Source organism: Homo sapiens, chromosome 13 (genome assembly GCF_000001405.40).
Source record: "Homo sapiens chromosome 13, GRCh38.p14 Primary Assembly".
Lineage (NCBI taxonomy): Eukaryota > Metazoa > Chordata > Mammalia > Primates > Hominidae > Homo > Homo sapiens.
In genome coordinates this window covers 81,576,424-81,602,671 of record NC_000013.11, presented here as the reverse complement: position 1 = coordinate 81,602,671, position 26,248 = coordinate 81,576,424, and the positions used below count along the sequence as shown (strand labels likewise).

The window sequence follows — 26,248 nt, the reverse complement described above, 5'->3', positions numbered from 1 at the left end:
TCCTGCCTTTATTTCCTTCCTTTGCTTTACTTTTCTTAGACTCCTATCCCATGCTGGGTTTGATCTATGATCTTCTAGCAGCATCAGAGGGAGTTGGAATAAAAATAAAAATTTTATAGTGTAGTAATTAGAGTAACAGGTAGAAAGATCAGTAAATACATGGCTCAGTGCTAAATTCTTGCAGATGTTTCTGATTGAATTCTTGCCAGGAATTTGAAAGCAATGTATGACTGTTTCTGGGAGCTGCAGACAGTCAACTCTCCCTTTCTGCACTTTTAAGTACAAGGTACTTACAAGCAACATAATGAAATAACTTACATCTCTCTAGTTTGTTGAGCCAGAGACAACATCTGAATCTTGATTTTTTTCAAATCTCCTTTATGAAACTTTTTCAAAAGCATCATTGTGTTATTGTTGTAAACAAAAGTATCTTTTAAATCATAATTATCTGAGTTTCAGACATCTGTTGATAATTAGTACTCTTATTCACACAAAATTATTTTTAGTCCAGAATTGTCACAGTTGTTTTTGATTGTGAGATTATCTAAGGACTTTGGCAAAATTATGGCTATCTTTGGACCTGTCCCAACTCTAATATCTCCCAGAGATATTAGAATCTGGAGGGTCTTGTAGCCATAATTTGAATAAGGCCTCCACGCAATTCTTATACTCAGAAAACATTGTTAAACACTGATTTAGTCTTGACATAAATTTAAACCATATGTCTCCGCTTCTGCTATACCTTCTACATCTAGTTAGTAATCAAAAGTTCCTGTGTCTTTTGTTCCTCAATCTACTCCAAAGCCAACATCTTCCCCCATGTCCTTCACATAAATCCTTCTTCCTAAAATTGTACTCTTCCCCCATGACTTAGTTTGTGCTGATGTATCAAATTAGCATAGACTGGGCAGCCTAACCAACAAACTTTTATTTTTCTCAGTTCTAGAAGCTGGGAAGTCCAAGGTCAAAGGGTGGGCAGATCCACTGTCTGTTGAGTGTCCTCTTACCGCTGTGTCTCTTCACATAGTAGAGAGAGAAGAAGCAAGCTCTGTCCTGTTTTTTTATATAAGGGTATTAATCCCTTCACAAGGGCTTACCTCTTAAGGAGTAGTTACCTTCCAAAAGCCGTATCTCCAAATACCATAACATTGAGTATTAGAGTTTCAACATAGAAATTTTGGGGAACACACATTTTTGTTTTCTTGATATATGATATGTAGTTAACTTTGTGAAATTATGTTCTATTCATGTGTGCTGCATAATATGAGATTATATCAGTTTTTGACTTTTACATATTGACTTTTACTTTAGTTTTGCAGCAACTCACATTCTTTATTCTCCAAAGCAGTTTGGCTTCTGGTTTGTGAATGAGAGAAACTAACAGTAGCTAACTTAAGCAGAAAAGAAATTTATTGGAAGGATATCTAGCTGCTTAAAGAATCATCAGAAAGACCAGAGGGACAAAGTAGAGAAAATTAGCAGGAAAAAGGAAAGCTAGGCCATGTAAATTTGCCAAATATCGTATCACAGAAACAGACCTTTTTTTTTTTTTTTCTTTTGTCTGGGATTCTCCCCATGGACACACTTTACTGGCTACCAATATCACTTCTACTCTAATTTCCACACCACTGCCATTGGACATATTTTCTCAACTGGCCATTTACTTTTCAGCTATTTCTTTAATGTCCAAGTAGCAAATGGGAGCATTTATATGGGTGATTATTGGTCATGTGCTCATTTTCAACACTAGAGGAGATAAAAAGAGATGATATTTGAACTCTTCTTCTCTCATAGTACAGGTAGAAGAATTCAGAATCACATAATGGGAAATTAAAATAGGTAGTGTCTTCACATGCTGATTTATAAAAATACAACTGTTGATTCTAATAATACACATGAGTAATTCTTCCCATACACAAATTTTCAAACTAAAAAATTGCCCCAACAAACGTAAAACAACTATTCTCTGTTCAATGTAAAATTCATATACATGCGACAAAGTGACCTAAAGGGAGGCAACCCACAACATTATTACAAACAATGCTGAGGCCCACGTATCTTGATGTTGTCCATTTTTTCTCTAGTTCTGACCTGTTGTTATCTAAATATTGTCTCATGTACATAATTAAATTGCAAAGCTAACCACAATCGATACACTCAATATATGGTTTGGGGAAAAGAAGTAGTAAAGACTATATATATATAGACGTGTATATATATATATATATATATATATATATATATATATACACACACACACACATATATATACACTATATATATGTATATATTATATAAATGTATATATGTGTATATACACATATACACATATATATGTATATACACATATACACATATATATGTATATACACATATACATATATATCTATATACACTATATATATGACTATATATGCACACACATATATATATACACACACACATATATATATATACACACACACACGCACACACGGAAATATAAAGGAACACAAATGATTTTAGAAAATAAATTTTCTCATTTTACAACTGAATTTTAGGGGGAATTCATGACCTTTCTTCTCCGTTAACGATACCATCTTCCCTATGACTTCAACAAAAGGCTCAAGTGGTCAGATCCTAAGTCTTCTTTTGTAACATAAACTCTCCTTTCTGAAAGACCTGTGTCCACAGTGGCTCTGCTTTTATACTGTTGCAATAGTCTTCCACTAACATCTACCGTTAGATACAAAAGAATAATAGAGTCTTCCCAGAGGGAATTTGGGCTCCATTTGAACTCTCCTTGCTTCTAAACTTTGGAAATCACCCTAACCAAAATAAAAATTTCCATTTTTCCCAAATGGTGGCAGAAACTACAGAAGATAAGCTGCTGTTTCAGCTTTCAATTCAATGGAATCATGGAATAGGGGAAGTCTATCTGAGGTAGAAAAATCTCTAAATTGCACAAGATGATAGTCATGGAAATAGTAAGCAATTTTTTTTTGAATGGATATTTAAGGGTAGCCATGGGAAGTACCACCCCCTACTTCTGCTTGTGGACTTCCAGACCCATGCAGAATATATTTTGTACCTTACATTGTGTTTTTTACAACTGATGCCTGACTGGGGAAACCAGTGATCCCCATTGACTTTGGCCCACTTCCTTTCTTATTTTCCTGTATAATGAATTTCTTTGTCAGAAGCAATGCTCTATAAAAGATTAAAGTGGTTTGTCATCACTTACTAAGTACATAGATAATAGTACTAGCAGAGGCATAAAAAGGCAGAGAAAGAATTTTTAAAACCCAAACGAGTAACTGAGTTATCACAAATTACTACTCTCTCCAAGGTAAAATGAATAAATAAAATTGAACTTTTTCAAGGTTATTCTAAGGATATAATACAATATTAGGGGCTTAAGGCTTCTTACTTCTGCTAAGTTGAGCACTTGGTGGCAGCAGTCATTAAAATAGCTTTAGTTATGGGAAGACTATGCCATTGATTTTCATGCATAGCCTCCTATTTACAAAATAATCTCCTTATGAGGTCTTTGTGAAAATACTACAGTGGCAGATGAAGGAGACATACTTACTTCCTTAGCTTAACTAATCTTGCCATGTTGATTATTAAAGTTTCTTCTGTCATAATGGCTTTTTTGTTGAGCATTCATATGTGACACAAATACGTTTATAGAAGGGACCATTATACAATATCTCTCTAAAATAATCTTCCTCATTGTTTAATAATTTTTTTCACTTCCTTGACCATCCAACAAAATTGATTACTTGTACTATGAATTGTAAGATACCCCTATCTCATACCATTTTTTTCCAAGCAAAATGGGCCATAATATGTACTACTCTAAAAAATATCTCTGGCAAAACATTGCTTGTTCTCATGGCCTTCAGAACCACCCCTGAGAAGACTATACTGCTATCACAGTTCATTTTTCATTATTTTATTGGTATATAAGGTAAACTCATCTATAAAATGTTATATTGTTTCAAATTATCAAGGAAATCTCCTTATAGAAAAATTGTTAATTGAGAAAGGGGAGGTTACAAAGTTGGATAATTACAGTGGGAGGTTAATGACTCAATCTATGATGTGCACCCAAAGCTATGTCAATTCAACAAAATTCATAAAGAACATTTAGCATCATATGAAAATTGGTAACCATTCGTATTAGTCCATTTGTGTTGCTATAAAAGAATACCTGAGGTTGAGCAATTTATAAAGAAAAGATGTTTATTTGGCTCATGGTTCTGCAGGCTGTACAAAAATCATAGCACAAACATCTGCATCTGGTAAGGGCCTCAAACGGTTGCCACTCACGGTGGAAGGGGAAGGGATGCCAGCATGTACAGAGATCACAAGGCAATAGAGGAGACAGGGACAGGGGAGTGCCAGGCTGTTTTTATCTACCAGCTTTTGTGAGGACAGAGTGAGAACTCACTCATTATCTTGAGGACAGCACCAAACCATTTATGAGGGATCTGCCCTATAATCCAAATACCTCCCATTAGGCCCTATATCCAATACCGGGGCTCAAATTTCAACATGAGCTTCAAATGGGTCAATGAAACCAAACTATAGTGCCATTCATGGTTTCAGCTGTTGGACTCTTCCATGGCCTATCACCAATCTAAAAGCTATGTCTGAAAATGATAATGGTTATATAAGAAAGGTGACAGTCTTGCTTCAAAACTAGAAAGTTTCTACTATGCTTTCAAATTGTGGGTTATTGTAGCCTCCGTAGAACATTCTGAAATATCACAAATGCTTGAGTGATACTAGATTTTCTGTTTCAAAGAGTCAAGTGGCAGAAGAACTTATTTGTCATGAAGGGTTAACTGCAGAAAATTCTCTTGCCGTGCCATGAGTCTCATTTAATTTTGGCTGCCTTTCAGATCACAAAGTAAACAGACTGAGCCAAATCTCTTGTTTTTGTTTTTTCTGTTTTTGGTGGTGGTAAGCAAAAGGTAGAGCAATTTATTTTTTCCATGATGTGCAGGAATCATATATGCTTCCCTAAAATGAAAGTTTTACTTTTTCTTTGGGATATGTGTCTTTGTCTCTGCCAAATGTATTACCATATTATTTAGATTTTTTATTAATTTGAAGTCAAGTCAGCATGATGCATACAATGGGTCCATCGGAATGGGAAGACATTAAAGATCCCTAAAAATAAGAAGTGATAACAAGTTTGAGAAATAACCTAGCCCAGGAAAAATGTTGAATGTATAGTCTACTAGGTAAAGGAAAACTGATTGTGATGTTCTGTGTTTATTAGGATAAAGGCAAAAACATTGCCACATCGATAGTGTTCACAGGAAATGAACTGATTTGCTCTGAAACAAAACAAAAGTTAAACAAAAGCTACAACAAAAGCTACAATCATTGGTTAATGTACTACCATTCTGCAAGACTTCTCAGCTTTCATTTCAGACCAAACAAGGACATGCAATTGCTTTTAATGGACTATTTTGATACTGAGAAGGAACTGCTATTATTTTAGGGTCCTCTCTTAAATATATATACCACACTTATATTTATATATTATTTACATATTTATATATATATATATATATATACACACATATACATATGCATACACACACATAATGTTTCATAATTAATATAAAGCAGTATTTCCTGCTTGGAAACACATACTATGTGCACTAGGACTCAAACATGATGAGATGTAACTTTAGGACAGATGGAATATAATCAAAATAAACTTATATTATTGACAGACTGAGGGTCTATTAAGAATATTTCATCTTTAAGAAAAATTAAAGTGAGATAAATAAGTTGGTTTTTAAAAAGTCAGTGGATATATGCTTTCAGTAATAATTAACTAGATGATTTGGAATAAGATTTTATAGAGAACCAAGTGAAAATGCATCAGAGAAGAACAATGTAGTGAGAAACTGTGAAATCAGAGTCTGGGCAAAGAGAGAAGACTAAATAGATAAAATGGACATTTGGGATATTTTCTCTTGTAGAAGACTTTAATGATGTTGGACACAACAGCTGAGAGTTTGAGAAGCTGAACAAAGCTTTCTGCAGACTCACGGACCTAGAGGGACAAACTTGGATTTCAAAACCACCTGAAAAATCCACAGGACTTGGAAAAGGGCCCACAAACAGCTATAATGAAGCAATAAAAGTTAACTGGAAAGAAACAAGATTTTCACCAAAACTGAAGGCAGCTTCAGATTGTCTCAATTTCGTAACTTTGCCAGAAGCAAGATAAAGTTACAATCATTGGTTAATGTACTACCAGAAGAAGATAAATACTCTCTAAATGAAGATTACATAATACAGAGCCTCAAATTGTTTTCATAAAGTGTAGTATAATATGGCAAATGCTCAATCAAAAGGAGCATGAAGAATAAAATGTGAATGAAAGCAAACAGTAGCAACTGGAAAGAGACACTGACCTATAGAAGACACAGATAATAGAGTTGTCAGTCACAGACTAAGCAATGTATGTTTAAGAAGAATTTATTGACAATAAATGGCAGTATTGTCAGAAGACCAGAAAGTATAATAAGAAAATAAGTGTAATATGTAACACTAAAAATTATAATAAATGAAATCAAAAACTCAGTAAATACATTAAGATAAAATCAGATGCCAGTGAAAAAGAATTATTAAACTAGAAGGTAAGCCAGAAAAAGAAATATTTGAAATGAAACACAGAGATACATGTCAAAAATTGTGAAAAATCTGAGATTACACTGTGCTTACAAGTTAACAAATTAGTCTTCCAGAATGTCATCGATGCTATCAGAAAGCACAACATTCCTGAATCAGACAAATAGCTCCTATAGAGAGCATGACAGCAGCATGAACATGATGTTCATATCTAATTTGTCTCCCTCTATATACCCCACAAATTCCATGGGGATGAGGCTCACATTGGGCCCAGGCAGATGCTGCACATACAACTTGTTTGTTCCACAAAACTGAAGAACCCCAAGATTAGAAAATCTCCAGTCTCATAAGGAAGCTGCAAGCAAACCTACCTAACTTTTTCTCAGGAAGGATATGTTATCTTTATTTTTCTGAACAGAAAACAAATCATTCTTTTGTCCCAGTGTGAGATACTATCTTTCTCTTTCAAGTTTATTTACTATGTAAATCTCTTTGAATATATAGTCTGAAACAAAATCTACTCCAAGATATGTAGAAATACTATGGAGAATTGCTCACTAACAATACATAACTCTGTTTGCATCATCATGTTTTCTGAAAGATTTTTCAATGAATATGCTGATCCATTATCCACTTTGATTAATCTGGGGAAAAGGACTTCATTCAATGAAGATACCATCAATAGAATTCTAAGCATCAGGCCAACTATCAATGCCACCCAATAGTATTTATAGTAATAGTATTATTTATAATAATCCCCAAACTGGAAATTGCTCAAATGACCATCAACAATAGAAAAGATAATAAACTAGCCAGGCCCGGAGGTTCACACCTGTAATCCTAGTACTTTGGGAGGCCAAGGCCAGTGGATCACTAGGTCAGGAGTTTGAGACCAGCCTGGCCAACATAGTGGAACCCTGTCTCTACTAAAAATACAAAAAAAAATAGTTAGGCATGGTGTCAGGCACCTGTAATCCAAGCTACTTGGGAGACTGAGGCAGGAGAATCCTTGAACCTGGGAGGCGGAAGTTGCAGTGACCCGAGATCGTGCCACTGCACTCCAACCCAGGTGACAGTGCGAGATTCCATCTTAAAAAAAAAAAAGAAAAAGAAAATATAATAAACTATGGTGTATTAACCACATAATACTTCTGTACTTGTAAAAATTGCAACTTTATGAGCCAATGGTGAGGAACCCCAGAAAATAGTTTTGAGAGAGAAGAAAAAAGGCAGACACAAAAGGATGCATCCTATGTGGTTCAGTTTACACAAAATCCCAAAACAGAATTGATATGTGAGTTAGAAGTTAGCATAGTTTGGTTAGTCAGTGGGAGGAAGAACCAGGTGGGACAGAAGCCCAGTATACTTCTTCTCAATCTGTATACTGGTAATAGAGAGTTGCTAGTATGCAAATACTTCATTGGGTTTTACATCTAGAATTCATGCACTTCCTTGAAGGTTCAAAACTCTGATCATGGTATAATAATAAAAAAGTGAAGAGACTCTGTCTCTCCAAAGAAAGAAAGAAAGAAAGAAAGAAATCCTAAATAAAACTTAGAAAGTTATAAACATTAAGAAAAAGAAAAAGACTGACATTTGGTTTCATACATTAGAATGATAACTTATTTTCATTAAAAGACAGAAACAAATGCATGAAGAAGCAAGGCAAAGAGCTGTTTGCGACACATGTAACTGAAGAGGGGCTTATATCAAGAACTTAGCACAAATTCCTGCAAATCAATAATAAAATGACAGACAAACTTGTTTAAAAATTAAACAGGTTCTTCAGAAAAATCGGATATAGAAATGTCCAAAGTGGTTATTTTTCAAGGAAATGCAAATGAAAGGGGCCCTATCACCAACATTGGCAGGACTATTACCAGCAGACTCTGTATAAAGTAGACCAATAGCTTGGCTTTACAAAGAAACATTATCCTCAGGGAAGGAATCAGCAGAAAAATATGTTCTTGCAGTGGGATTTGTCTGAAAAAGTTCTAAAGTTTTCATTGACATAACACAGTAATTTACCCAAGCAAGCCTGAGTAATTGAAAAAAAAAAAAAAAAACTTTCTATGGAGCAACAAGAGAATTATAGCAGACTTGGGAATGATCCAGAGAAGGTCCAGAACACTCCAAGCCCAATAAGGCAGGACTTTTATTGGAACACAATTTTCCAAAGAGGTGGAGGAGATGGCACTATGGATGCAACCTGTGAAAATCCTATAAGACTGTTACAGTGACCTTCTTTTCTGATCACACTGGAATGGTAGCAAAATATTTTTATATGCAAATAGATATCAATCAAGTCATATTGACTATAATTCTGAGAAAATTCATGAGTTCTAATTCATTATGAAAATTCTTACTATTTTTTGCTCCTAAGCTTTGCTTTCATTTAGCCAGCCGACTCCAATTTGAAAGGAGCCCTTGGGAAAATCCACACTCCTCAGGATAAACCAGACTCACATTATGAGACATATTTCTTGCTTACTATGATGCTTTTCTGCAAAGGCCTTTGGCTGTTTAATGAACTAAGTCATGAAGACTGAATCACCCGAAGTTTCTTAATCACCTTTTTGGACTTTCCTTCAGAAAAGCTAGTTAATTAATTTTGGAAAAGCAGCTGTTTATTTAAAATCAAATAAATTAACACTGTAAATCTTTTAGGAAAAGCTTTTTCTTTCTTTCATTTTCTTTCTTATAAATGAAGCAAGAATTATTTTCTAGGAGAAGTTTATTTCATGGCAATTTAAATATGCGACCTTAGTCTGCACTGAATGTAAAGAATACCATTTCAAGTATATGATTTAATGAGGAGGAATATTTTAAAAATTCAAAGGACAAGAATGGCTTAAGAGTTGAAATAGGTACTTTGGAAAACTGGGAGCTGATATGATTCTAAAATCAGACATTCCGAATCAACTCATACAATTGGAAAGGGATCATAAAAAATTCACACTTAAAAATCACGGATTTGCAGGATTTTAACAAAATCATTTTGGAAACTGAAGGTGGGACCAATTTTATACAGGACTGGAAGCCCCAAAATCTGAGTCTGTTACAGACTGTTTTAGGGATGGTTAGTGGCTTCCACTTTATATTTTTCCATAAGCCTAAACTGATGTGAAAATAACTCAGCCCAGGTTTACTCTGCGATTTATAACCTCTTCCCAGTGGAACACCACTCTTGTCCTGAATCTGAATTTCTTCTCCTCAACTGTTGGACCTAATCTACTACTCTCTTAGTCTCCTTAAATAGATGACAGTTTCTCTATCATGGGATTTCCGATTTCTAGTCCATCACATACCTCAAGAGAGGTTTTTAGTCAGTTCCTAAGTCTCAGGACTTCCTCCAAAGGCAATAAGTCTGGTGTGAATATTAAGCTAGAAAAGAAAAGCATGGTGTGAATGTTAAGATAGAAAAGAAAACAAGTATCTGAATTTAAAATAGTTTCAAATCCAGTACAGGGTGCCTTGCAAATATAAATAGATAAAATGTTTTTTCATGTGTATTTAAATACAAATCTCATTATACTATTGAAACTTATTTCTGGAAAACCAGTTTTAGAATATTTATACATTTTAATCAATATAAATGAAATAAATGCAAAAATGAAGTTTCTGCCCACCTGAGCAAATTAATGTTGAGGTAATTGAATAAATAATGAATTAATATTGAAATGAGTTTTCTGCCAATTTAAGTAAAACCACAAGTCATTATAAATAATTCCAGCCATCCTGCACTAATCTCATAAACATGTCCAATTGACTAATTTAATTATATCATTTATGCTCCCATCATTTCTAAAATGTTTAATTTTAATAGAAAATAAGTTAAGTGGCTCATTGAAACATATATCTACCAGGTTAGAATAGGGTGGCATATTTTTCTTCAGTTGAAAGATGTAGAAATAAGTGAAGACCACTGAAATGAGAACAAGCAAAGGCAATTTATGCAGAACTTGCCATGGGTGACAAAGAGCCATGCACCATCACTTGCATTTGGCAGTAGTTCAAACACAGGCAGGTAGGTGTAAAAGCTTTACAGAGAAAAAAGAGGAAAGTTTTAGTATGACCTGATAGGAGGTTGTTAGCAAGGGGAAGCTGTAGATGGACTAACTAGAAGTGGGGCATCCTATCTGATTGGTTGGGGGCACACACTTGGCTTTCTCTGGTTGATCCAAAGTTGGAAGTGGGAGTAAAAAGGCGAGAAAAAATAACAAAGCTGGCAGGTATCAATTTAGTCGTGACCATTTCAAGTGCTGCAGTGCTACAGAGTTTGAGGTTTGGCTTTCCGGTCTGCAGACTGTTGGACAAAATTCTGTGGGTCAGAGTTTTATTTTTATATGTGGTCTGGCTGCTCTCCTTGTCCATTTGCACATTCAATCTCTAAGAGACAAGTGCAACTACAATAAAACTCAACTTTTCTTCTATTAGGTATTTTAATACTACAAATGTATGTGTTGCTTTTTGAGATATTTAATCCCCAGTATATAGATAACACTTATTAATGTAGAGAAAGTTATTGAACTTACACACATAGTTGAAACTTTCATACACAATTGTATTCATTTTCAAGTCCTTAAATATAAGGAGCAATATATATCTTTTGTTTCAAATAGAATGAAATCCTTTTTGACAGTGGTACACAGTCTTGGCAGATCTTTAAGTAGAAACTTGATTTCCAGAGAAATTAATATCTGTGAGACTGCACTGTTCTCTCATTGCTTATAACACATATTGTTAGTAAGCCTTCAGGAATCACCTTCAGTTGCCTCTCTGCCCAGTACTTATTTTGGTGGCATTTTCCAAATTTAAAGTTACTCAGGCACAACTACTCAGAAAATACAGAGAAAACTACAAAATTCATTTGATCTCAAAACAAATCTTCTGGGAAGTGGACTATGAAAGTTGTGCAGCTTCAGTTCAGACTTAGACACAGAGAATAATAGACAAGATCCTGCTAGAGGGTGGTGGATCCACAGAGCACAGAGAATAATAGTCAATGAAGGAGTTTTGTGAAAGAGCTTAATAAGAGTCAATCTCTGGTCTATGGTGGAGTGTTGGGGATAGACTTTAGCCATAGACTTTTGTAAAGGCCCTTTCCTGAGAAAGTTCCTCTCTATTCCTATTTTGCTTTGTGTTTTAGTCATTGACTTGTTCTGTGCTCTTCCAGCATCTATTAAAATGACCATATATTTTTCATCTTTACAAAATGAGTTGGAAAGTGTTTCTTCCTCTTTGGTGTCAAAATTTTTTTAGAATTGGTGTTCTTGAGTTCTGTTTAAAGTAAAGCTTTTGAAAATGAATTCAATCTTTTAATCGATACAGGACTAATTTTTTATTTGGCATATTGGATTAGTTCAGATAAGTTGTATTTTTCATGAGATTGGTTTAATAAAAGTTTTTGAGTTTATTGCCATAATGCTTATACATATACATAGTTATACATATATATATACACATACATATGTTTATATAGGTAATTACCTTAACATATATAGAATTTGTAAGTATAGACTTTTTTTTGCCTTTTTTTTTTAAATCACTCAGCTCAGGGCTTCTCAACTTTGTTGATCAGTGCAAAGACCTAACATTTGGCTGTTAGTTGTCCCAATGGTTGGCCTCTTTTCTATATTATTGATTTCTCTTCCTGCCTTTCCTTTTTTATCTCTCTTACAGTTGATTAAATTTGTTCTTTTTTCCCTTAGCTATTAGAGCAGATTTTAGATCATTTATTTCATACATTTTTGTTTCTTCCCTAATACCAAAGTATTAAAACCTATAAAATTTCCTGAGTCTTGTTTTTGCTACTTCTAATATAATCACATAAGAAAAATAATAATTTACTGATGTGCAAATAAGGGAAGATATTCCGCCCCCCAACTTTAGGAAGTTCTTTTGTCTCTTTGAAATGTATGTGAAATTTTCTAAAAGTTAAATAAGCCTCTTGCCAGCTTTAGGACCCCAAAATGTCTTTTTTAAGTACCTACAAACCATCTCCTTGAAATACCATGATTAAAGAAGACAGTGCTGTCTTCAAGTTTCTGTGAGAGAATAGGCACATGACTTCAGCGGGCACCTTGTTCCAAGTTGTAGAACCATTTTCTGTTATAAAGATCTAATTTTATTTTTTCTTTAAAGTCAATTAACAGATGACTACTCTAATTACTGAGTAAATTTAGGATAAATATGTGTGACAAATCATGTTACACATGCTCTTACTTGAGGACTGCATATTTTTTATCTTGAGAACACATATGTAATGGGCTGTATTTGATTGGCTACATAAAAGGGTGAAATTTCTTTATGATTTTGCAATCTTTTTGGTGGATTGTCTGTGATATGCATCATTAGTACTTATTCAATAGTTAAACTATTTTTTTTCTTTTCTACCTTTGTGGAGAATTTTTCTATATTGGAAGATTTTATTTTTAATTTTATTTCCCCAACAATGGTATGTTTGTTAACATTCATTTTGAATTTTTTAAGTTCCTTTAAAATATCATTTTAAAGTTTCATTCTTTAATGCATGCATTATTTAGAGGTGTGTTTCTTACTTTTCAAATATTTGAGCTCAGTTATTTTATTCTGCTTCTTTATATATTAATGATTAAAATTCTGTCATAATTTGAAATATTAAAATTGTAAACATATTGGATAAAATAGGATATAAAGGTCAATAATTCTTGACTTAGAAATACAGTTTTGCCAATTAACTTGTGTGACTTTTGAAATGTTAGTGTCTCTAAGCCTTAATTTCTTACCTATAATATAAAATAATACAAAGTTGATCCGTTTGAATGAAAATATAAATATGTGTATATTTGTATGTGTAATGTAGGTTAAAGCAAGGGTTAAATTAATAGTATTATTATATTGACATGGGAGATTCATCAGCCTTCCACTCTAAAACTAGTCATTGTTATTATTCAAAATTACCTTGCATCTTTGATGAAATCAATGCACTCACATTAGTAAAGATGGTGGAAAACAACAGTGATAACATTTTTCCTAAAGAAAAGAAAGTAATATCACAAAATATCGTCTCCGAGAAACAATGGGTATTTTCCTTAATTGAAATAACAAATTATAATTTATACCACTGATCAGAAAAGAAGTTGGGGTATTCTCCTTAGTTAAATACTTTAATGAGGACTAGATGGGTTAATGTATTTAAAGCAATCTGAGAGTGACTGAAAAGATGTGCTTTTCAAATGAATCAATAAATCAATGCATATGTACTACCATCACACCCAATGGCTTAAAAGTAAAGGAGTCATTACCATAACAATAGACGTAAACCTACTTTGCATTGTTACTGTAATATCTATATTTGCTTTTAGATATCATATGCATATAATCTGAAAAACATTGCTGTAGAGAAGGTGTAAGTTATTACTCTGAGTTAAAATGTTCTGACCTAGTAGTTAGATATCAAGGAAAAAGCAAATAAAATCATCAATAATTTATTATTAAAGGGCATGTATATGAGATAATTATTACTAATTTCTAGTCTCATCATTTACTAAAGAGTCAATATTGTTGTTGTTGAATGATAATATATGAAAGATATTGTAGAAATGTTAGAAAATATTTTACCAACAAAAGCATTCACTATTATGGTATCAATGATATCATGCACTAGATGCTGGAAGAAGCTATACATACTACAAATATTTTCATTTTGTTGGTTAAACAAATTACTTTTTTGCTGTATTCCACTGGTAATCTTAAAAACAAATTCAAACAACAAATAACATTGTATGTCAGTTAACAGTTTAAAATGTATTTTCTCCTTGTTCATCAAAAATCCGTATGAGAGAGATGAGTCTACATTGTTAGGTACCTCATTTTATTTATAAGTAAAAAAAAGACCAAAGTTTGTATAACTTTTATATAACAGGCATTACTTATCTTTGTAGTCAGATAACTTCAAATGTTTGTTGTCTCTTTAATCTGCAATTCTCAAATTTTAATATTCTTAGGAATCTCTGAAGTCCTTGAGAAATAAAATTTTGATCCCAGACTCTACTTACATTCTGATGATTCATAAATCTTATTTTTAGATAAGCACCGCACCCAATATTATTCATAATTGGGTTGTCTATTGACCATACTTTGAGAAAAAACACTTTCTAGCCTACATTTTTGTATATGTCTAACTGCCATGATTGGCATCATGCATACATGATCCCCTATTAGGCTCCACCTTTGGAAAGAAATGAATATAATACATGTGTTTTCCTTAGGTAATTGTTGAGTGTATCTGGAATACCCAACAAGCCCTTCTGAATGGCGTATATTTGCTATCAAAACTTCCTTAAAGGTTACTGCGTATTTTCTACACAAATAAATGGATTATGCAAGTTCTTAAGTACTCTTTAATTAGACCTGCATCCTAAACTCCAATTATTTCTCTCAAATCTTGTTTGTATTTGACTAACATCTATTCTAATCCTACAAAGTAATTTCCAGGCTCTGCCAAATTATTGCACTATAAATAAGAAATAATCATTTAAACTTCAACCTTCTCTTTTCAAAGATTATGACACTCGGGTTTGATGGTATTACCACAGAAATGTCAGCTCAATTATTTTTAGAATAATTAGTTTCATTATATAAGAAAGTACACAGATATAAAACTCAGTTTCCTGATTCTAAAGTACCTTCAATAGCAATCAAATCCTAATTGAAAGAGGCTCACACCTGCTAGCTTCATCCTTTGTCACTCTCTTATGGAAAGATTTACTACCACAGAATCTAAATAATTATTAACTATCCCCATAGAAATGATTGTTAAATATCAACACATATATCCTTAAGTTACTAGATTGAAATTACCTAAAATTATTTCTTATAATTGGAAAATACATTCCTATATAGGGTTGCTGTGTAGCTAAAGTATTAGAGGCACAGAGATGTTATGCAATTTGATGAGGAAAAAACCTGAAATAGGACTTAGGTGTTCAGACATAATCACTCCTGTTAAATCAGTTCATTGCATTCCTAGAACATAGGTGTTTACTTTGTCAACTGAAATTGCTTCTGGGATAAATGGAAGTATTACTCTAGACCTAAAACAATCTAATTTTTTTCATGTGATTTTCCAGGTATACAATTTTTAAAGAACATGCAGTGAATAATATACAGTTTAGGGAAAAATAAGAAAGATTCTGTTTAGTTGCCAGGAAGACCAAGAGACAGGATGAAGATAGTTATGTGCAGAAAAAGTCAGGGGAAAAGAATAGCAGCTGAGAGCTATGAGTATGTGCCCATTAATTGAGAGGATAACTTGGGGCTCAGGTTTGGTACATCATTAGTTAGACAGGTTATGTTTCACATATGAGTAAACAATATGAAGACACACAATAGTTTCAAAGATTAAACTTAGGTGTATACTCCACTCTCCATAAATATGCTCATAAAATAATGATTTTGTGAGATGAATCAGTTTTTGAAATATTTTACATAAAAAAGTTGAGTTTTTATTTCCTTTTAAAATCCAATTTGTTTCATAATTATACAATAATCTAAATTTGGATTTATACCAAGTTCAAATTATTTATTACATAATTCTCATGAAATAATGTTAATTTCTTTTTAAAATTTTAGTCTATTTATTTGGAGACCAAGTTATGAGACTGGCTAATTTTTGCATTTTTAGTAGAGACGAGGTTTCACTGTGTTGCCAAGGCTGGTCTCGAACTCCTGGGCTCAAGCAGTCCACCCACCTTGGCCTCCCAAAGTGCTAGAAATACAGGCTTGAGCCACCGCACCTGGCCAATAATTTCTTTGCCTAAGAAATATTAGATACAACACTACATGCACTTTGATTTCTTTTCAACTGTGGTAAGAACACATGAGATCTACCTTCTTAACAAAGGCTTTAAGTGTATAATACAGTATTGTTAACAATGAGCACGATGTTGCACAGCAGAGCTGTAGAACTTATTCATCTTTAGTAAGTAAAATTTATACCCATTAGCTATTCCTTATGTTCTCCTCCCCTAATACCCTGAAACATCACTACTTTACTCTTTGCTACTATAAATTTGACTATTTTAGATACCTCTTGTAAGTGGAATGATGCAGTATATTTCCTTTTGTGACTTTCTTATTTCACTTAGCTCAATATCCTCAAGGTTCATATGATAGGATTTATTTCCTTTTCAAGGCTTAATAATATTCTACAATGAGAAACCCTGTCATCCCTGTTAGTATGAATATTATCATAAACACAAAAGTATTGATGAAGAAGTAGAACAATTAGAACCCTTGTACACTGTGAACAATGCAAAACAGTGCAGCCACTATGAAAAACAGTACATGTTTCCCCCAAAATTAAATATAGTACTACAATATGATCCCCTCATCTCACTTCTGAATATTTATCCAAAAGAATAGGAACCAGGATCTCAAATAGATATTTACACTCCCATGTTCACTGCAGCATTATTCACAATAGTTAAGATGTCGAAACAAACTAAATGTGCATCCATGGATGAATGAATAAAGAAGGTATTTTATAACTTAATAAGCATAGTTACTATGAATATTGGAAAGACATTTATATTTTTATAAACCATTTAAAAAACAGTTAAATCATATTTAACTCTAATTTTTATATATTCTTGGAACTAATGAATACAAAGTATACGTAAAATGTGTGTTTCCTAAATAAATGCATGTATGTTGTCCTCAAAGCATTACTATTATTACAATCTCGGTGTGATTTATGAATGAACCAATGGAGTTAGCCTTAAAGGAAGGGCTTTTTAATTTAATTTTATAACTGTTAAGTACAGTTATCATCTGCCTCAGATTTTAAACTTTTGTTCAATAGAAAAAAGTTTATCATTAAACAACTTAGGAAAGCTTATCTATGTAGGTTTTTTCCAGCAGGTTTCTGTTGTCAAAGGTCTAGTTCAACCATCTGATGAAACATGGTAGCAGAGGATATTTGCTGAATGGTACAAGCATTCAGGATTATTGAGAGGAATTTCTTTATAAATAAAATTGTTTTAAAGATTAATGTTTGGAATAGATTATAAATCCAGCTTCTAAAGGCAGAGAGCAGTCAGGTTTTTTTAGATGCTGGACTCAAGGCATCTTTAGATGGTGGAGTGAGCGAGTGAGAATGGTAGTGGCAATCAGATAAGTATCCCAGTTATTATTCTGAATGTTTTTTGTGATGGCATAGACATCAGAGAGGATTTGAAACAATGATGATAACACTTAACTTTCTGTGAGAATATAATGTTAAAGAATAAAGATAAAATATTTTTTGGACATAATAAGGACCATGTCAAATGTTGTATCATTTCATAAATGATTGGTATTTTGTTTTATATTATTAACAAACTAGATGGTAAACAACATAATCATAAAACTATAATATGATTTAGAAGAACAGCTCTCCCTAAACTTCTAAATAGGAGCTTTATAACAGGATATCCTGACTTCTGAACTTCTTCTACAAATTGACATTTCTTAAGTAGAAGGAACATATTTTTGCATCTCTATAAAAGCTTGCATATAAGTAAGGAATTTATAGTCTCCCATAAGAGTATCAGCCTATAAACTGCATGGAGCTTCACACTCCTGAACTACTGTTGTTCCTTCTCCATCATTCCATCAGTGAGCATAGTCAGAGAAGAAAATATAGTCTCCATAAACTAAGATCAAACTGTTAATTTTTAATTCAGCTCTTATTGACATAAATGGCATGGTAAATGCTTAGAACACTGACTGAAAATAAAAAGAACTGTTTAGTAAATTTAAAAAGTGTTGAGAGATTTACTAGCAGCCTCATAAGAATAATTTTTCTTGAAGTGAATTTCAGAATAAGATATAAATCACTAGATCTTATTTAGAGTAGTTTATTACAGATGCCACGAGGTCCGTTTGTAAGATGGCCTAAACTCAAGTTTCAGTGCCTGTTTTCTAATAGCATTACATAACCATATCTGGGGTAGTATTTATTAGGTAGTAATTCTCTGAAATAAACCTCCAGCTCTGTGTGCTTATTTATGGCACTTATAAGATTAAGGCGTGAGCTTAAATAAAGCAGTTTGGATCAGCGCTTACAGACTTGTGCCCTCATGTCTCACGAAAGGATAAAGACAGGAAGATAAACATGGACTGGCTTTACCAAGAGGACATCCTGACTCTTCGTAAGTCACTTTGGAATTTTTCTCACCACTTGATGCCTAACACTTTGCCACCTGTAAACCAATGACTGTTAGGTTTCCAAGACAAAAAGATTTGTCCAAAACTTGTAACCAGGGAAAGTATTGCATCCCATGGAAGAAGCTTAAAAAATATAGCACTCTCTTTATCCAGAAAAACTAATAATTATTTTAAAACTGCTTACACTGATCAGTATGTGAAGAATGTTTAGGGAGAAATTAACAGATATATTCCTTTTTTTTTTTTTTTTTTTGGCAAAGAACTTCCCAAGTCAACCTAATAATAAGAATCATAAGAGGCACCAATTTAAAATAAAAATAACTAATAAAAGTAATAGAACACATAACTGGCAACTTCTCCTTTACTCTAATTCATTAAATCTGGGGCTCCCCAAATAATCTATCTTTTTATGAAATAATTTTAATAAGATTTTGAGAAACATAAGTAATAACTGAAAAGCCATTTAAAATGTCTCTTCATAGCATATACTGCAATACAGGTATTAATATAGTTTAGAAGTAGAAAACAGAGTTTCAAATCATGGGGGTAAAAATGTGAAGCAAATATAAGAGAAGAAAAATGTATTTGAAAATAATGCAAAAATAAAATTTAGAATAAATGGCAAATATACATAGATTGTGTTATGCAACAAAAGAGGATTTATAGTATAAAAATGATGTATATCACTTAGCATTTGTAGATGGTCTGCATTGTAGTCTGTGTCTGGTGCTGGCCTAAAGATCTAGAACTTATTTCTTTCCCACGTTTTAGATGTGGGGATATTATTCACACCTAATTAATGTTCTCTTCACTCTTATTTTAAAAACCATCTAAGTGTATAGCACAGTCACAGATTTTAACCAGCACAACAATTTCTTTATCTAGAAAATTGTAATTGCTTTTGACCTACCTTGAGCTTTCTCAATGACAGCACACACTCCAACATACACTCATAATCTAATTTAAACTGTATTCTGATGCAATAATTTAAACTTTAATTTCTATTTGTCCTAGAGAAAATTCTCAGTCCTCCGTGAGGAAGCACGATCCCTGCTTCTTTGTTCAAGAAGGTGCCTATATGTTTGAAAGAAGGAAGGTGGAAGGTTTTGGGCATAATGACCTCCATCTTCTGGGATGCTATCTTTTTTCCATGTGAAAGCTATTTGTCCTCTAAATCTCTCTTGTCTAAAACATGAGCATATGGTGCTCTTTGCTCCCTGGCTTAGTGTCCATCTCTTGTTCCTGCCAATCCTATGTTCCCTCTGGGGTCTGGGTACCATTTTGGCACAGCTCTGAAAGTCTGCTCTGCAGGCACATTATAGAACCAGCTTTCTAAGGCAAACTCCTTAGGCACAGTGTCAGCAATATCTGGATCATGTCATTGGTACACAAGAAGGAAAGGCAAAATTAAAACCTCAAAAACTGTCCTCTGCTTGATCATTAAGCTAAGCCCTGCCAGATGTACTTTGATATGACCCAACCTCGATTTAGTATGGAATACCCTGCAAAGCAACCTTTTCCCATTGTCTCTAATGTAAGGGTCTGATCCTCAGTCCACCCCCAGTGTCAACCTCACTTACTAAAAGACTTCCTCATCAATGAGTCAAAGTCTAGAATAAAAAAAATCCAGATCTCATTCTTTGCTTTCCTTCTTATAATCCTCTATGCCTAAAAGTAGGATTTTTAAATATCTCTTATTTTGTATACATCTTTGTTATAGCCTTCACAGAATTGTCACAGATGTTAAAAGTTTTATTCAACACATTGCAGGAGAACATTATGAGTTGGTCCTTTCTGCCTTGAATCCGGATTTGCTTAAAAGGAGGAAATGATAATATGGAAAAATGATCTCTCTACCAAATCCCTGAATCTAAATGCTGCTGTCTAAATCTATAATTCCATTGTGTAAGTCATTATTATCATAGTCTTACCTTGTAGTTTCTTTTGTAACCAATAGAAACTGATGTGATTTGACTCTGTTTCCCTACCCGAATCTCATCTCCAATTGTAATCTCCACATATTGAGGGAGGGACCTCATGGGAGGTGATTAGATCACGGGGCCCATTTCCCCCATGCTGTTCTCATGATAGTGAGGGAGTTCTCACAAATCTTGATGGTTTAAAAGTGGCAGTTTCCCCTGTGCCCTCTCTCACACTCTTGCTGCCTTATGAGAAAGGTGCTTGTTTCCCCTTTGCCTTCTGCCATGATTGGAAGTTTCCTGAGGCCTCCCTAGCCATGCAGAACTGTAAATAAATTAAACCTCTTTTGTCTATAAATTACCCAGTCTCAGGTAGTATCTTTGTAGCAGTTTGAAAACAGAATACAAATACCAATATTTCTACTATCACATAAATATCTTTAGTGGACTAGTGTGTACATTTTATGCTTATAAATGCAAAAAGTAAAAGCATATTAGTAATTTTTAAAAATATTCTCAATAAAAACATTTATATTAATATTTATTTGACAAAAAATGTAAATTATACATAAAACTTGAGAAATACTCTAGCTCCTTCTTCAAGCTGCAATATTCTTCTGAAAGCAGTGCTTCCTTTGGAAGCAATTACTTAAATAAACTACATTTTTCACTACAGGTTTTTTTTGTTTTTGTTTTTTGGTTGGTTTTTTTTTTTTGCTACCAAAGTGCAAAAATGCTTTTGGCTGGCCATTTTCAGTTATATTTTGTGTTCTCTGCTCTCATTCATAACCTCCATTCACAGATAAAGAAAAGCTGGTTTTATTCTTTCACTGAATGTATCAGTTTCCTTCACCTTTCAATTACTACAGGAAGTCAACAATAGTTCCACTTACCATCTCCCTTATTTGTTCCCAATAAAACCTCAAATGGCTCTCCCTAGTCCTTCAAATGCCACCTTTTTCTAGAATGTATCCATGTACCATTCAGTTACTTTTTTGGAGGGTTACCTATTTCTTTTTTATGCTCTAATGTCCTGGACAAGAAAGGGAATTTCCAGATTGAAAACATTCTGTATAATATGGTGAAAATAGACTAATATCACTATTATCCTTGCTTCAGATTTCTAAAACTCAAAAGCATACTAAAATACTGTGTTTGAGAAGGTATAATTTGTAGTATTTACAGCTATTCTTAGAGGTAACCAAAAATTGAAAAAAATTTTATATATATATATATATATATATATATATATATATATATATATATATATACACATACACATACACACACATTTATAGTCTGTTCAGATGAGTTTTAAATGTTGTCTTGACCTTTATTTCTCTCCTTTATTCTTTGATAAACACAGCTCTGAATATTGAAAACTCTTATAACATAGTGAGTAAACAGCTATTTACTTATTATTCATCAGTCTTATAATTAGCTATTCCTACCTTGAATGCTATTGGGATAATTCACGTAACTGCAGATGGTTTGAACCATTTTACAGTAACATTATTTCTAGTAAAGAATGATCAAATTCTGCATTACAAGTTTAAAAGGACTGTTTTGTTTAGATTGAGAAAAAAGCTATGATCATTTTAGTTTTATTTATAAAAAATAAAGAGGTCATTACAAAATTTTAGAGTTAGAGTAATAAAATAATTTAAATGTGCTATAACAACGGTCACCTATTTTTTCACATATTTAACTAAAGTTGATTGCTTCTGAGAGATGACTTTCCTCTTTTATGGAGCTTAATTAGTCGATCATTTTTTGTTCTGGCCACATAATATATTATTTACATTACCCTAAATCATTTTCTTTTCACTTTAAAGTTACTCCAAAGTCTTTTACTTTATTTAGTCTTCTCAGAGCTTTGCAAAGCAAGCTTAGGGTCTAAAAAGAAGACTATAGCAATTTCCCTGCAGCGATTTTGCATTGACTAAAAGACAGCAATCAAACTTATCAGCTGAAAACAGTTTTTGGCTGCAAGCAAACAAACCAGTTCATTTACTACATTTAGAGTCTTACTGGGGCAGTCCAACTCCACTGCGAAGAAACCACTGCCACAGCATAATTAAAGAATCTGTCATTCCGACTGGAGTACTGTGCATCTTAACCAGGACCTGAGGTTAGGATGGCTAAGGCCCAAACAATATGGAACAAAAGAAATAGTATTTTATAACTGGTGATTTATGACAAACCTGAACTTTTAAAATAATTCTCCATTGTAAAAAGCCAAAATCTTTCTATTTATAATACATTGTTATTGTAATATATTGAAGGAATGCTTTGGAATTACACTCAATATTTTAACTCAGTACATATCTTGTAACAGGTTATAGGAATAATAGAAGTGCAGAGAGTTAACTTCATTTCTCTGAAAACTTAGTAAATTTTCTTTAAAATATTATTTTCAATATAATTAAGAGAAATAAAAATTATGAACAAGGGCTTAAAGAACAAGCATGAAAGCCCTGGCAGCTACACAGAAGAAAATACAAATGTAAGAGGGAGTGGGGCAGAAAGATGAGAAAGGAAGGCATACTGCTCTACAATTATGCTTAAGGGGATATATACTAAATAAAGGAGTTCTTCAAAATATATAGTATCAACCTAAGAAAAGAAAACAGTGAAAATATATTCTTGTTTTTTTCTGCATAGAATAGACTTCTACTGTAAAGAGGAAGAAACTAGCCTCACACAACCATATCATACTGCAAATAGAATTAAGTATGCTGATTCCACACCAAATGGTCACATCCAACATTGCTGCCGGAAGAGAAGAGAAACCATGTGTTAGTATTTTCATCAAGGGTCTCACAGTGTAATACTTGGAACAAAAAAATTAGATTATAAATTGGTACTACCTATGATATATCTGAGACAAAAATGTGACTCCTTCAGTAGCTTTCTAAGACTAACATAGGCAAGTCAATTCATCTTTCTCATTTTCAGTTTCTTCTTAGATAAATTGAGACAGTTGAATAAGTTGAATTACAGAACACTTTGATGCTATATCTTAAATATTTTGTGGCCTCCAAAATTCACGTGTTAAAAATTTAGTCACCAACCTACAGGCTTGGGCAATGGGGCCTGTAAGAGGTGTTTAGGTCATAAGGCCTTCACCATCATGAATGGATTAATGACATTATAAAAAAGGGAGATTGGGAATGAGTCTTTTTTCTGCTCCTCTGCCACGTGCAGGCACAGAGTCCCTTTCTTGACCCTTCTGTCTTCTATGTGAAGAAGCGCAGGAAGGTCCTGGACAGATGATGGCAACTTGATCTTGAATTTTCCAGCCTCCAGACTTTGAAAAAATATATTTCTGTTCTTTATAAATTATCCAGTCTCAGACATTCTGTTATAGCATGCAAAATAGAGTAAGACATTTAAAATGAACCATGCCAATGATTTCATACATCAGTAATTAGTGACTTTTCAATAAATAATAGTAGTTTGCTTATCTATACTTCAATGCCAGCAAATAACATCTTTTTAATGTAAGTGTGGTGTTGTCACAATTGAAAATATACAGATATGGTTGCTTAAAAGTTACATATCTCCTAAATACTAAAAACAAAAATAAATAGCAACAGAACTCTAAATATTTCCAAATTTGAGAGTTTAATCTTAAATAACACATAAGCATACCTTTATTCTTCAATAATTTAATTGATTTAGTCATTTGATTATTTCAAGCAAAAATAATTAAAGGTTTATTTGCCACATTTTATCTTGTAAATCTGAAAATAAATCAGTACCATCCAATTGTTCACCAGTCACTGCCTTTTTGCTTTCATTGCCATGGTTTTGAACTTTAAAGTTATTGTTAAAATTTGTAAAAGTCTGTGATCAAGAAATATCACTTCCAGATGTAAATTAGAAACTATCCATTGAGGTTTCTCTATAACGTCACAGTGTGATTTCAGCCTTTTTCCTAGGGGAATTTATTTTTGAAGTGCCTGTGTTTCTTTTTTTTACCATTTCCAGCCTTTTGTTTTGTTTCCTTCTTCTGGGTTTCAAAGTTTCTTTTTGTTATTTCCAATTAAGGTTGAAGTTTGCTGTGGTTTTTTTTTTTTTTTTCTTTTTGGAACAATGCCATTTTCCTAACCCACAAAGCTGTTACTGTGAGTAGGCCTGCTCTTAGATAACTCCTCCGGTAGAGCTCTGTTCATGATTAATTAGCATTTCTAAAGAAGTAAATGAGCATCTTGCTTTTCACTTTCTTTGCAAATGTTTGACATATTGTGAATGTTTGATTTTGCTGTATTACTCTTAATATATGCTAATACATGCTTGCAATGGGATAACATAGTATAGTGATTAGGCAGGTACATGAATCTCAGTGAGGTGATTAAATGCTTTTCTTCTTCAATAGTATGGTGACATAGTAGCTTGTCTATTATTGATAATGATACTATTAAAATAATCTTAAAAATGGAAAATAAACTGATGGGTTTACTTTCTCTTCTCTTGGAAAGTATGAGTTTTGGAACTCCTCTATATTCTTAACCATTCTTAATCCAGGAAGGTATCCAGATATACCAAAATAAAATTGTTAGATAATTTATGTGCATTAGATTCAGCTTCAAGAAACAGAGTTTTTCATTTCTTAATTGCCATAGCTCCAATTTCTAGAGGAAAATTACTTTTGAGCTTGAATATCAGCATTATATTTTTACAGATATTGTCAAAGTTACATCAGAATACACATATACCAAGTTAAAAGGTAAGAAGCAACCTAAAAAATTATATTCAGCTGATCTTTGACAAAGGTGCGAAGCCATGCAATGGAAAAAAGATAGCCACAAATTAAAAAAAAAAAAATCAATCTAGACACAGACCTTAGAACCTTCACAAAAATTAACTCAAGATAAATCATAGACCTAAGTGTAGAATGCAAAAAGTATAGTATAACATTCTTAGAAGGCCAAGCAAGCACCATGGTTCATGTCTGTAATCCCAAATTTTTCTGGTCCATGATTCCTTTAAGGATCACGGGAGATGGGAGGTTAAGGCAGAAGGATTAAGAAAAAAAATTCTTAAATAGAAGAAAATCTACATAACTTTGTTTTTTTTCCCCTTTTCTAGTTGGTTTTTTTTTTTTTTTTTTTTGAGACGGAGTCTCGCTCTGTCGCCCAGGCTGGACTGCAGTGGTGCGATCTCGGCTCACTGCAAGCTCCGCCTCCTGGGTTCACGCCATTCTCCTGCCACAGCCTCCCGAGTAGCTGGGACTACAGGCGCCCGCCACCGCGCCCAGCTAATTTTTTTGTATTTTTAGTAGAGACGGGGTTTCACCATGTTAGCCAGGATGGTCTCGATCTCCTGACCTTGTGATCCGCCTGCCTCGGCCTCCCAAAGTGCTGGGATTACAGGTGTGAGCCACTGCGCCTGGCCATTTAAAAAAAAAAAAAATAGCTTCTCACTGTCACCCATACTTCTGTATAGTGACACAATCACAGCTCACTGCAGCCTGGACCACTAGGGCTCCA

The 26,248-nt window shown here is 33.3% G+C and overlaps 1 long non-coding RNA gene across 1 annotated transcript in view; it reads right to left on the bottom strand.

The window, feature by feature from the left end:
* Positions 1–9,956: 9,956 nt before the first annotated feature.
* Positions 9,957–26,248, bottom strand: part of LOC105370283 (uncharacterized) — a 59,397-nt gene continuing 43,105 nt past the window's right edge. Inside the window, exons 3-4 of the long non-coding RNA XR_942125.2 lie at positions 13,585–13,656; positions 9,957–10,026 (exon numbers count right to left, since the gene is read on the bottom strand). This is a non-coding gene — a long non-coding RNA (uncharacterized LOC105370283). The remainder of the gene's footprint in view (positions 10,027–13,584; positions 13,657–26,248) is intronic.